Below are 14,215 nucleotides of genomic sequence, written 5' to 3' on the forward strand. Positions count from 1 at the left end.
AAGAAGATATTTGCAATTCTAATATTGATGAGCTACTTTCTGAGTATAACTTACTCCTGCATATCAACAAGAAAAATCCAAAACGGTGCAGATAGGTAAGTTACTAAAGAGGAAAATCGAAAGGCCAACAAGTATATAAAGGTGAGGTAGGAGGCAGAACTCTACTCTGGAGGTGGGGCTTGGTCATCGGACCAAATTGAGGATTCGCTAAAACAAGTCAGGGGCAGAAGCACCTCCCCATAACACAGGCCCACCAATGTGCTGTGGCAATACCCAGAAATTACCACTTCTTTCCACGGCAACAAGGAGATAGCCTGGAAGTTACCACTCTCATTCTAGAAATTTCTGCATAAACTGCCCCTTACTTTGCATATTATTAAAAGTGGGTATAAATATGAATGAGTGCTGGAATGCCTCTAGGCTGCTATTCTGGGCACACTGCCTATGGTTAGCCCTGTTCTGCAAGGAGCAGCACCACTGCTGCTGCTGTACACTGCTGATTCAATAAAAGTTGCTATTTAACACCACTGACCCACCATTGAATTCTTTCCTGGAGGAAGCCAAGAATCCTGCTGGGCTAAACCCCGATTTGGGGGCTTGCCTGTCCTGTATCAAAGGGATGTCCAATTCAAATAATCAGAGAAATGAATATGAAAACAATTAACACTTCTGAGAAGTCATCAAACTGTTTTTAAAGGGCCAGATAGTAAATACCTTAGGCTTGGCAGGCCCTATTGTCCCTTTGCAATTACTCAACCCTGTCACAGTAGCATGCAAGCAGCCTAGGCAATACATAAACAAATGGGCATGGCTGTGTTCCAATAAAACTTTATTTATATAAACATGCAGCTGACCAATAGGCCATGGTTTGCACATCCTTTTTGCTGCCAACAATTAGAAAGATGGACGATGGCAACTTTTTCAGGCATGTAAGAATATTGAAATTAACATGGCGCTGGTAGGAGTTGATTGTGGCAGCCACATACTACCTTGTTATATTTAGCATTATGTCATATTAAGTATCCTTCAACCCAAACTTCTACTTCTGAACATATGTCCCACAGACATTCTTTAACAGATTCATGGGACACATGTCTGAGGCTGTTCATTGCTGCATTGTTTGTGGTGGGGAGAACTGAAGGCAATCCGTTACCAGGGGAGTGGATGCTAAGATGTGGTGGATTTACTAAATGGAGAATCAAGCAGAACTTCTGTGCAACGGGCTAGATGAACAGACAGTTATATGGATGGAGCTTAACAACAGTTCTGATTAAATGGTGAAAAACAGAAGAAAATAGAAAATAAACACCCATTTATAAAAATGTATGTACACCGCGCAAAACTACAGTCTTTCAGGAACACATGCAAACAAACGTATACATGTAAACACATTAGAAGGTGTCCATGGAAGAAATCGGGAAATGGCGATTACAAGAAACAAAATGTGAAATAGGACTTTGGGAGACCCATGATGACAGGGTGTTAGGGACTCAGGAGAATGAAACACTCAACCCTGTAATGGAGAGAAAAGGAATAGGAAATGGAAGAAGAGGCAAATCTTCTAAGGAAGTGCCACCAAAAGAAGGCTACTTCAACCTTCCGTGAGCAGTGAGCAGCCAAGCTCCCCAGAAGCTCCTTCCCTGCTGAAGAGCTAGGCCCGCATTCCTTTTCCAGGATCTTTGCTGTATGAATTGATGCCATATGACATCCTCCCTGGCTCCACTCTGTCTGGTTCATGGGCCCAAACCCCACCCTTAACACCATCTCCATTTTGCTGACCTGGGTCTAAGACCCTTTGTTTCAGGACCTGTTTTTGTCTGTCTGCTCATGGCACCTTTAGATTTGACATTTCCGGCCGGGCGCGGTGGCTCATGCCTGTAATCTCAGCACTTTGGGAGGCTGAGGCAGGCAGATCAAGAGGTCAGGAGATCAAGACGATCCTGGCCAACATGGTGAAACCCCATCTCTACTAAAAATACAAAATCAGCTGGGTGTGGTGGCACACGCCTGTACTCCCAGCTACTTGGGAGGCTGAAGCAGGAGAATCGCTTGAACCTGGGAGGGGGAGGTTGCAGTGAGCCGAGATCGTGCCACTGCACTCCAGCCTAGTGACAGAGCAAGACTCTGTCTCAAAAAAAATTTTTTTTAAATATATTTGATATTTTCATTTTTTGCCTTCACTTGGAATTGTGTGTTTAGTCCTGACTTAATCTGTTCTATAGTGGTTGGTCACACTCAGTCCTACCTCAACCATAGTGCCTCAAACTAGACCCATGATAAGGTAGATGGGAAACTCAGAGTTCTAATGAAAAAGACAAAATTTCCTTGTATTAATGCAAGCTATAAAGAGCTGTCCTAGGCATCCTGTCTATGCCAATCTGTAAGAGAATCCACTTCTCTAAAATAAGCAAATGAATAAGTAAAGTACACAAGATTAGAAATCCTTAGAATTTTTACTTTAAAATTTAAACCCTTACCACAGATAAACTTCTCTAAGTGAATAGTTGAAATTTTTTGTGTAAAATTCAACATAGTTTTGGGGTATGAATAGCCTCATCTTTGCCAATCTATATACTTTCTATTCAAAGCCCTAATTTTTATAGGTAGATAGAGAACTGGGCAAAATAAATTTCCTAATCATTTTGCAGGCTATAGAATAGTACAGAGAGCGGTATCTCTGAAATGATTTGAGTATTACCCTGTTTCAAAGAAGATAAGATTTGGGGACTTCCTTCAAACACCTGCTTGGATACTTGTATACCCCACAACAAAACAGCCTAATATTTGGTGGTACAAATTTACAGAGAGAGAAGAATGCATGTTGCTTTCTTTAATGTAGGATCTTCATTTTGATAAAAGGACTTAGTGCAATATAGTTTTTAAATAATAATTTGTCTAATAATAATCTGATTTTGTTAAAAAATAGATCCATGTTGAATTTCCCACATATTAAAAAAGCAAGGTAGACATATTTCTCAAATGCATTCCACACATGATGCACTTTGTAGGTACTTATAAATCCTTTATCTTAGAGAGTATTTCTTCTCAAGTTTGCTCATTGTTGGAATGACTCCCTGTGTAATTTCCACTTACATTTAGATTTTGTTGTTTATAACAATGTGTTCCATTCAGTACAAAAGGGAAGACCATCTAGAGATGACTCATAATCTTATAGAGGTGGTTTAGTCATAGCTTTTCTAATTCTGTTCAACCACTGGAGCTATTAGCTGTATTTCCTTCTCCCAGATCCAAACCATAAACACCCGACTGCCTTAGCATCTGCCAGCATCACCAGGCATCTGGACCAGTGGTAACGGTGTAGCCAGAAGTCACACAGAGTTGTCCGGGTCACTTCCTTGGGCAATCTTATCCTGACCTTGGCACTAAGATCTGTTGGGTGTTGTCCAACAAAAGTTTCCTCTTGTAGTGAGAATTCACTAAGAGTGTCAAAACGTCTTTGCTTTTTGTGGGTATGCTTGGCAGGCAACCCTATTTCCTCATTTCTACTTGATTTTTCTCAACCTCCTGACTGTGTCAGCAATTGTTGACTTTTTGGTGAGTGTTAGTACCAATTTGACTTCTCTGGATGAAATAGCTGGATACTGATTTTTATTTTACTTTCTGTTACAAAGGTAACTATTTGTCTTCTTGGTGACATAAGTGATCTGGCTACCTGCAATGTCATTTTACTTAAGCTGTGCAGAGTGGATGAACATGATACAAAAGCATGGTTGTGTTAGGGGGACAGTTCTTGGTCTGCAAACAGTGTATTTTCAAAAGGTTTTTAAAAATTAATTTACAATTTGGGGAAGAAGAAAATGCACTTGACACCTAGGCCTCTAGGAGAATATATTTTATAAAAATAAGTAAATATATATCTTGAGTAATATAAATGCCTTGGCTCTAGTAAACCAGGTGAAAATACTGACTCTTGGATTTATGATGTCTTAGGAGGATTTTTTTTAAAAAGAGGATTTTCCTCATTCCAATCTTTCAAAAGCATAATCCTCTAGATTTAAAGAGATTCACTGCTGTTTGAAAGGGGTCTGAGCTGTTAAAGTTCTCTTGGGCAGCCAGCATGCTGAAGCCTCTGAGTAGGTATGTGAATCAGCAAGATATTTTTTTCCTTTTAGTTTCAGTGCAGTGGGTAAAGCCTGACAAATAAATCCAACGGGAGTAGGAGATTGGAGATGAACCGTATTTTAGTGAAAAAACTACGAACAAGAGCTGTTAGCTTATTTCTTTGCCACATAAAGCGCATAACCAAGTACAGTACTAAGTAAGTGTCCTTAAGGCACTTAAATTCTTGATGACTGACTTGCTAGAAAACCATATTCACTCACTTTGGGTGGCATCTTTTGACTGGGGATCCTTACAATGTTAGCTGTTTAGCCTTGTGCAGCTGTATACTTCTAGCAAGATCACACATGAAACTCATGCTGTAACTCAGATGAGCAGAAGAAATATGATGGGTTCTATCTATAAACCATCTGATTTTAAAGAAGAATTTCAGCGGTTGGTTTGGATAATGTCCAGTCTTTCTTAGAGAAGAATGCTCATTCTATTAGAGTTTCAATGAAGACCTAGGAAGGGAGGAATATGGCCTATGCAATCTCATGATGAGGCAGAAGAACTGAAGTCCATGGATAAAATGCCCTTAGAGTGTCCTGTGGTATTGAGGCAATACCTCTACCCACTTTTCCACCCGGGCATTTGTAGATGAGACCTGTGGCTGATGTAACCACTGATCTGGTCTCTTTCAAATTTGCTTCTGCTGACTGCAGGTCCTGAATGTCTGATGCATCCTGTAGCCCACTGGTCCTTCTTCCCTTATCCATCCCTCCTGCAGTGGGCCTTTTTGATGTGCTACTCTTCTTCAGCTCAGAATCCACAACATAAAGAAAGGACAGCTGAAGAAAGTGATTCTCAGTGTTTCCAGTTGTCTGACCCCATAGCCCTACCAGATTTACCATGACGTGTCTTGCTCGAGGAAGGAAAGGGAAGCCCTGCCCTGCATCGTACCCTCCTTTTGTTACTGAGAGCTGTGACCACTGACTTTACTTTCCTCCCTCCTCTTTCTCTCTTCTCCAACTCAAAATACCTAGGGTCTGGATTAGAATGACCAGCCATGCTGGTTTTCCCAGGACTAAGGTAGTTTTGCTGGATGTAGGACTTTGATTTTCAAAATCTAGAAAGTCTAGGCAAATTGAAAATAGTCGGTCACCTTTTTTCTCAATTCCAGCCTATTGAGTGATTCTCAGTAGTAAATTGGGATATTTTCTCTACACACAGAACTCTATGGTCTAAATTCTTTTGATCTCGTTAAAGATATTCTGATGAGGGAGCAAATCTTTTTGCAAGATTTGCTTCAAAATGCTATTTATAAACATAGAATCTCACTCTTCTAGAACTGTGTCCCCATACCAGAAAAAGAAAATCTTGAGCCAGCTCTAGAATATATTATACATTTAGGAAAAATAAAGAGAAAATGTGAAAACTATCATTATTATATAAAAAACTCTCCTTTTAAGAATAGAATAAGCTTATCCCATTTAACTGAAGCAGTGATTTTCACAGTGAATTTCTATGACAGCTAAATTTTAGTGAGCTGTTTCAGGGTTTTGATTCAGCTTTCACTAAGCAATATGTGCATATTTCTTATATATATTCATATAGATGTATAGATATCTACATGTATATGTGTATATGAATAAAAACCATTATTGAAAGTCAACACATGGCTGGGCATGATTGCTCATGCATGTAATCCTAGCACTTTGGGAGGCCGAGGAGGGTGGATTGCCTGAGCTCAGGAGTTCAAGACCAGCCTGGGCAACAGGGTGAAACCCTGTCTCTACTAAAATACAAAAATAAAAAAAAAAGCCGGGCATGGTGGCGGGCACCTGTAGTCCCAGCTACTCGGGAGACTGAGGCAGGAGAATCGCTTGAACCTGAGAGGCGGAGGTTGCTGTGAGCCAAGATCGCACCACTGCACTCTAGCCTGGGTGACAGAGTGAGACTCCAGCTCAAACAAAAAAAAAAAATGTCAACACACACTTTTAAAATAATATATTCCTTAAAATACTGCCAAATGAGACAAAGTATCCTTTCCAGAATAATACATTTTTTTGGATTAGTATTTTATGCATATTAATTTCTCTTGCCAGAACTTGCAACAAATTTCCTGTCATCTCACTCATAACTCTTCACATTTTAAATTACCACAAGTGAATAGAGACCATTTTTTTCTGTTTATTGTTTTATCTCTCACACCTAGCATGACTCCAGGTCCACGGGAATATTTAGTAAACACTTTCTGAATGAGTGACTAAGTTCTGAGGTTGCAATGTTTTGTCATTTGTAGCTATTTACCTGCAAAAATCAAAATTTTTCTATGTAGTACGCATGCAAAGCCAAAAACTGAAGCAAATGGAAAACAAGGATGATATTCATACTGTAATGTTTGTAATGGCTCTTTGAAGAATTATTTCTATTTTGTTAACTTTTGTTTTCTCAACACAGGAATAGTTTCCATCACTTAGCAAAGGTTCAATAAATATTTTTTGAACTAGTGAAACTGGTGTCCACTGATTGCAAATATTTGTAGTCATCTGTGATGAGTAACGGGACCCATAGATTTACATTTCCTAAGTCCTGGAAGCTGTGACAGTTGTCTTACATGGCAGGGGGAGTAAGATTGCAGATGGAAATAAGGTTGCTAATCAGATGACCTTAAGGAATTTTTTCTAGATTATCCAAGTGGCCCAATGTAATCAGAAATGTCCCTAAATGTGGAAAAGGAAGGCAGAAGAATCAGTGATAGAATGATAGGATGTGAGAAAGATTTGACTAGCATAGCTGGCTTTGAAAAGGGAGGGGCAGGGCACAACCCAAGGAATGCAGGTTGATGGAAAAGGCAAGAAAGGAATTCTTGCATAGAGTCTCCAGAAGGAAAGCAGCCCTGTGGCACTTTGATTTTAGCCGGGTAAGGCATGCTTTGGACTTAGGTCCTCCAGAACTGTAATATAATAAATCTGTGTTGTTTACAGACACGAAGTTTGCAGTAATTTGTTACAGCAGCAATGGCACAGGGATATATTATCAAAAGAGTAATATATCATTGTTCTCATTTTTTTAATAAGTAAATATTTTAAGTTAGAACTTATACACTACTTGCACAATACCACTCAGGTTTTATTTTGTGTCCCTCACTAGATTGTAATAAAAGGGTTCTACTTTTTGCGCTAAAAATGATAATTTTTATATAAAAAAGGCACAATAGAACTAGCTGTTAAAGTTTTAAAATACGTTTTCTCTTACTTAGGTTTACTAAACATCTTGAGTATCTTAAAAATAACTTTTATAATTTTTTTTTTTTTTTGTTAAAGACAGAGACTCTCTCTGATACCCAGGCTAGAGTGCAGTGGCGCAATCTCGGCTCGCTGAAACCTCTGCCTCCCAGGTTCACATGATTCTCCTGCCTCAGCCTCCCGAGCAGCAGGGACTACAGGCACGTGCCACAACACCCAGCAATATTTTTTTTTCTTTTTTCTTTTTTTAGTAGAGATGGGGTTTTGCCATGTTGCCCAGGTTGGTCGTAAACTCCTGAGCTCAGGCAATCCTCAGCCTCCTAGGACTACAGGCAGGAGCCACTGCGCCCAGCTTAATATATTTTTTTAATTACAAAAGTAATTACCAAAGTAATGTTCACTGTCGAATATTTGGTGAAGCAAAAAAAAGACCCTCTGTAACTCTAGTACCTCTCCCATCCAGATATAACCACTGTTAATATTTTTGTGCATATCCATCTAGCTGTTTTGAAATGTTTATATCTGTACATTTTTTTTGCAAAATTGCTATCTTACATATGACTTTAGTCAATTTTTCTTAACATTTCATACTTTTCTATATTACTAAATTTTTTTATGATACAGTTTTAACACTTGGATGGTATTTCATTACACAAAAGTTACATGATCTACATCTGTAATATTTAGGTGGTTTTGTGAAAATTTTTAGCTTCTATGTGCTTATTGTATAAGCATTCAGATAAATAAAAAGAAAATGAATTCTTATCTAACCAGAAATAACTACTGTTATCACTCCTTTTATATTCACAAAAATTAAGTGTGTGAATATCTACATATCTGTTGTCTCAGAATATATAGTTCCTGGCGGCCAGGCATGGTGGCTCATGCCTGTAATCCCAGCACTTTAGGAGGCTGAGGCAAGCGGATCACAAGGTCAGGAGTTTGAGACCAGCCTGGCCAATATAGTGCAACTCTGTCTCTACTAAAAATACAAAAATTAGCCGGGCATGGTGGTGCCCTCCTGTAATCCCAGCTATTCAGGAGGCTGAGGCAGGAGAATCGCTTGAACCCGGGAGGCGGAGGTTGCAGTGAGCAGAGATGGCAACTCTGCACTCCAGCCTGGGTGACAGAGCAAGACTGTCTCAAAAAAAAAAAAAAAAAACACACATATATATATATATATATATATTTGCGTATATATATACATATATATGCGTATATATGTCTATATACGCATAGATTTGCGTATATATGTCTATATACGCGTAGATTTGCGTATATATGTCTATATACGCGTAGATTTGCGTATATATATCTATATATATACGCGTAGATTTGCGTATATATATCTATATCTACACATATATTTGCGTATATATATCTATATCTACACATATATTTGCGTATATCTATATCTACACATATATTTGCGTATATATATCTATATCTACACATATTTGCGTATATATATCTATATATACACATATATATGTGTATATATCTTTATATACACATATATATGTGTATATGTATCTTTATATACACATATATATGTGTATATGTATCTTTATATACACATATATATGTGTATATGTATCTTTATATACACATATATGTGTATATGTATCTTTATATACACATATATGTGTATATGTATCTTTATATACACATATATGTGTATATGTATCTTTATATACACATTTATATACACATATATATGTATCTTTATATATATACATATATATTTATATTTCCTGGCACTTTTAATGACTTATATTTTGTCTTATTAATTTATTGTAACTTAATCCAAAATACTGTTAGCTGTTTAGTTTGTTGGCAGTTTTTTTCTTTTTAGAAACAATACTTATTTTACAAACAAATCTTATTCACATTTAAATTGCTGTCTTGTGATAACTTTAGAAAACTGATATTTACATGTAAAGAGGATATTTACATTTCAAGGCCTTGGATTTGTATTTAGGAAGTGATCCTCAGTAACCTGAATAGAATTGCGTTCTGATTAGGAATAAACATATAGATTAATTACCACCTGTAGAAGAAATTCAAATCTAATTGTTTTGATTTGCTTCTCCATAAATATATTATTAAGGTTTGGTTTTTCTTTCTTTCTTTTTTTTTTTTTTTAAACAAACTGACTTCCTATATGCTTTGTCCATTTTATGCTGGGATAGGCGGCAGTTTAGTAATTGATGGCAGCTGTTTACAGACTAGATTGATTTTTTTCATAAATTTTTACATTTCACCTCTCAATTTTATAATTTTTATTGGAAAGTGAACCTTTTAAATCTTACGTAGCCAAATCTATAAAACTCATTTTTAAAGATTCTTCCTTGATTAACTTATGCAGAACGAAAGTTTTTGTTCAATACAATGTAAATATTCACCAGTTTTTTTTTTTTTTTTTGAGATGGAGTCTGGCTGTGTCACCCAAGCTGGAGTGCAGTGGCACAATCTCGGCTCACTGCAAGCTCTGCCTCTCTGGTTCACGCCATTCTCCTGCCTCAGCCTCCCGAGTAGCTGGGACTACAGGTGCCTGCCACCACGCCTAGCTAATTTTTTTTGTATTTTTAGTAGAGACGGGGTTTCACTGTGTTAGCCAGGGTGGTCTCGATCTCCTGACCTCATGATCCGCCTGCCTTAGCCTCCCAAAGTGCTAGGATTATAGGTGTGAGCCACTGTGCCTGGCCTATTCACCAGTTTTTATTGCTAGTGTTTTTGTTTAATTCAACTCATTCACCCAATGTTTTTGTTGTATATAGACTTGTTGAAGATCTAGCTTATTTTCCCCACATGATTAACTAATTGCCCACTTATTAATTTATCTGCTCAGATTTGTAATGTCACTTTATACTATAGTGTCACATAATAATTTCTCATAAATACTAGGGTCTGAAGGGCTCTTTATTCTGTTTTGTTGGCTTAGCTCTTTCCTTGAGCTAGTATTTTATTTTACCCATAAATAATATTTTGAAAATGTTGATAGGTCCTTAAAAAGAACTATATTCAGTGCTTGTAGGACTTAAAATTAGAAATATTAAAGTTTAGTGTATATTAAATCATCCTTATTAGTTGTAGTTTTCTAATCCTCTTTGTCTTCTTTTTCGCCACTTGGTGTTTGCCTGAGGATGATGTGTCTCGTATTCCTGTGTTTCTATCAGCTTTTTAAATGCATTTGCTTTTTATACATTAATGCCATGTTATCTGATATATAGACATTCAGGACATATCATTTTTGTAGATTGTACTTTTGTTAATATAAAATAATCCTTTTTATGACATATAATATCTGTGCCTTTAATTCAACTTCTTCTGATATAGATATTGTCATACTCTTTATCATTCTGATATATCTTTGACTTTCCTCTCACTTTTCATCTTCTTTGTATTTTGTCTAAATTGTTTCTTGTAAGTGGTACAGTTTATTTTTTACCCAGTCATCAAATTTGTCTTCTAAAAAGAGAATCTAATTCTTGTGCATGTATAATTCAAAGTAATATATTTGTCTTTTCTACTTCACTTTATACTCTTAAAATAATTAGTAGCACTTTTTTTGGTCTTTTGTCAAATAGACTGCATTTTCTTATCAGTCAGAAAGATTACAAGAGAGCACAGTAGCATATTACAACACAAATAGCAAATAAACAGGAGCTCCCACGAGTTAGGTCATAATATGTTCTGGGCTGAAACCTCATTTATGAGCCTATTTGTTAAAAAGCTGGACCTTTGACAAACTGAACACCTAGGTGTTAATGTGAATTATTTTTCATATCTTTTATTCTATTCCAGTATCGTAGGTATCCATCTAGTGCATCTCTACTGGATTGAGGTGTAATCTTTCCTTGCCTCCCTGCTCTTTTTCTGGTATTTACCAATTCAGCACACATGAAACTGGAATTTACAAGGTGCGTTTTTGCCAGTGTTCTTCCTAGGTGGAGTCTTGCTACTTTAGAAACACTTTATCCCAGGGTGCATCAGACCACTGTTCATGCCTAATGTGTCCAGATACTTCCTAATACTTCGATTTCTCGAAGGTATACCTATGAATTTTAAGAAAAGTACTGGCTCCACCCTTTCTCTGGCTGACATATGTCTCGTGTCATATGAATATACCTCAGTATACAGACTCAGTGTTAAACTCAACTCTGAGGTTGGAAGGAGAGAGAGAGAGTGTATGTGTGTGTGTGTGTGTGTGTGTGTGTCTGTGTGTGTGTGTGTGTGTGTAGCTGCTAGCTGTGATTCTCATTACAGCTTCCAAAATCTCATAATTAGTAGACAATCTTAGAAGATTCCAGCAACGGGTGTGCTCTCATTCTATTCCCCCCTTGCCCCATTATTTAGTGCACTTAAGAAAATCTTTTTCTGAATCTTTAAAGGTATTTTACTGAATAATTCCTAACCAAGGTTCATTTTAGTCTGGGTCTTGGCTTTCTCACTTTGTCGTTATTTCTGGATGACTGGAAGAACTGTCTCTCCGTATTTTCTTCTCCTCCCAGCCCAGTCTGCCTTACACACAGCTGTCAAGATAATGTTCCTGAAATTTCTAATGGTTTTTATTCAGTGTATCCACTCCAGCTTAGCACAGAAGTCTGCCACCATTTGGTTTCAACCTTTTTACTTGATCCTTCTCTACTGTAACCAGACTGACCTTCTTGCTGTGTTCTAAATATTCCTGTTTTTCTACCTCTATGATTTCAGTTGTTGTCTTTTTTTTTTTTTTTTTTTGAGACAGAGTTTTGCTCTTGTTGCCCAGGCCGGAGTGTGATGGCATGATCTCCGCTCACTGCAACCTCTGCCTCCTGGGTGCAAGCGAGTCTCTTGCCTCAGCCTCCCGAGTAGCTGGGATTACAGACATGTGCCACCACGCCTGGCTAATTTTGTATTTTTAGTAGAGACGGGGTTTCTCCTTGTTGTCATTAGGCTGGTCTTGAACTCCTGACCTCCAGTGATCCACCCGCCTTGGCCTCCCAAAGTGCTGGGACTACAGGTGTGAGCCACCGCGACTGGCACAGTTATTGTCCTCTTTACCTCGAGTATAAGTTCCTTCTTTCTCCTTTGCCTTTGCCGACTATTAACAAGCCTTTCTAGACTTCGAGGCTGGTCTCTGCAGAGCCTACTACTTCAGGAAACGTTCCTGACTTTTCTGCACGTGACCCTGCTCTCCTTTGCTGTTCGGCAGCCCTCTGTTCTTGTGTGATTCCTGTCTTTCTCCACCTAACATTAGCATCACTTGGTTACTAATCTTTTCCCACCTAGGGTCTCTATTTTCTGCCCTAGCTCCTGGTACCATTTTACAAGTAAGTTACCGTTTAGTAGAAATTGGGACATTTGAAAAGTTTGCCCAACTATGAACATGGGTTGCTGTGTGATTTGGATAGTCATTTAGTAACTCTGTGCTTCTGCACAATGCCATGTAAAATGGAAACTGAGATGGAGCTCGTCAATCTACTTCCAAAGGGTGTGATTTTTGCTCTTTGACAGACTTTCATCAAAATGTCAAAATACATTTTCCCTCTTCTACTTTATTAGCTACTGTCTGGTAACGTTTCTGCTTCTTCCTAGAGTGGATTTTCCAGAATTTTTCCATTTTCCATCATTTCATTTTTCCTTTCTGTCCTCTTTAGAAATAGTAGCGTCACTGCAACATAAGAACGTTTGTAAACCTCTTTTTTAGGACTGTGATCCAGTAAAGCTCACAGGTTCTCAAAGATCTTATCATAAACATCGAAGAAATGAATAGTCTAGTCATTAAATTTGAAACTTGACTTTCATGTGAAAAGTCAAATAATTTGCATAAGTAATAGCATTAGAACTAATCTTTTCCTGACTTCATGTAAGTGGAAACACTGGAGTAGAGATGTTACAAAAGGTTATCTCCAGTTCCAGGAAGATGACCCCATACTCATGGGTCACCTACTTCCACTCCTGTAGCCCATGATAAAGGGCGTCTCCATGTTTGATAGTGTTTGAATGACTTGATACTTTCTCTTTTATACTTCCTCCACTCAGGCTCCAAGGAGACACATTTTTTCACAATTTTTTTTTTTCCTCTTTGGAAACTTCTGTATGCTTTTTACCTTCCCTTAGTGTGTAAGTTACTTCCCTTTTCCTCTCTAGGTGCAGCCAAAGACTCTTTACAGCATTTTTAGTTCTCAATCCTATTTTCCAATTAAAAAATGATGCAGCAAATGTTCTGACATATAAACCCTATTGTTTTTCCTTTGGTAACATTCCAACCTTCCTGCAGGTTTCAGCGCTTCCTGTCATCTTAAGGTTTGGGTGTTGGCTATGTGGGTATTTTATCAAAATTCAAACTGGTATCTGTTTAGCTTATAAATGGTGACTTGATAGTAACCACAAATGCTAATGTTAACAGTTATTTTCCTTGTATGGTTATTGATGAAGGAGGATTTGATTTCAATGTGTATTACTTTAGAAGACTTGATAAATTGTTTCTGATTAAATGTCCTCTCTTCAATGAATGTATTCCCTGTGAAGGGAAGTGAAAATTGAGAAAGGACAGCAATGTTTGTTGTGACAGGTAAGATTTGTTTTAAGTGCTTCCTATGTGTTATCTTAGTTGGTGCCATATGGCGTTTTTAAGATAAGAAGATGGAAAGAAAGGAGTTGGAAAATTCTTTTTATAACTACTTCTAGCTGAAGTGTACTTCTAGCTGAGTTTTATAAAAATATACTTCTAGCTGAGTTTTATACAAATATAAAAAGGTAAAACTATAGTGAGTCTGTAATTGCATCAAATAAAATTATTTTTCTTATTCTGGTTTCTATACTTATATAGAAAGACAAGACACATTTCTTTCAGAAACACTTTCAAAAATTTTTCCAAATTAGCTATTTCACTTTGTTCATCAATATTACATAATAAT

At 37.4% G+C, this 14,215-nt stretch overlaps 1 long non-coding RNA gene across 1 annotated transcript in view, besides 1 other annotated feature; it reads left to right on the plus strand.

Annotated features, from left to right (window-relative positions):
* The window catches only part of LOC124904475 (uncharacterized), a 765,263-nt gene that overhangs the window by 101,124 nt on the left and 649,924 nt on the right, over positions 1–14,215 (plus strand). The gene's annotated exons all lie outside the window — the stretch shown is intronic.
* Positions 13,606–13,742: a silencer, noted in NCBI's record as "fragment chr1:193538144-193538280 (GRCh37/hg19 assembly coordinates)". NCBI's record gives its function as "represses an EF-1alpha promoter that drives an FKBP-Casp9 reporter gene in an ReSE screen in HepG2 liver carcinoma cells {active_cell/tissue: HepG2}" and the evidence as "EXISTENCE:reporter gene assay evidence [ECO:0000049][PMID:32094911]".

Source organism: Homo sapiens, chromosome 1, assembly GCF_000001405.40.
Source record: "Homo sapiens chromosome 1, GRCh38.p14 Primary Assembly".
Lineage (NCBI taxonomy): Eukaryota > Metazoa > Chordata > Mammalia > Primates > Hominidae > Homo > Homo sapiens.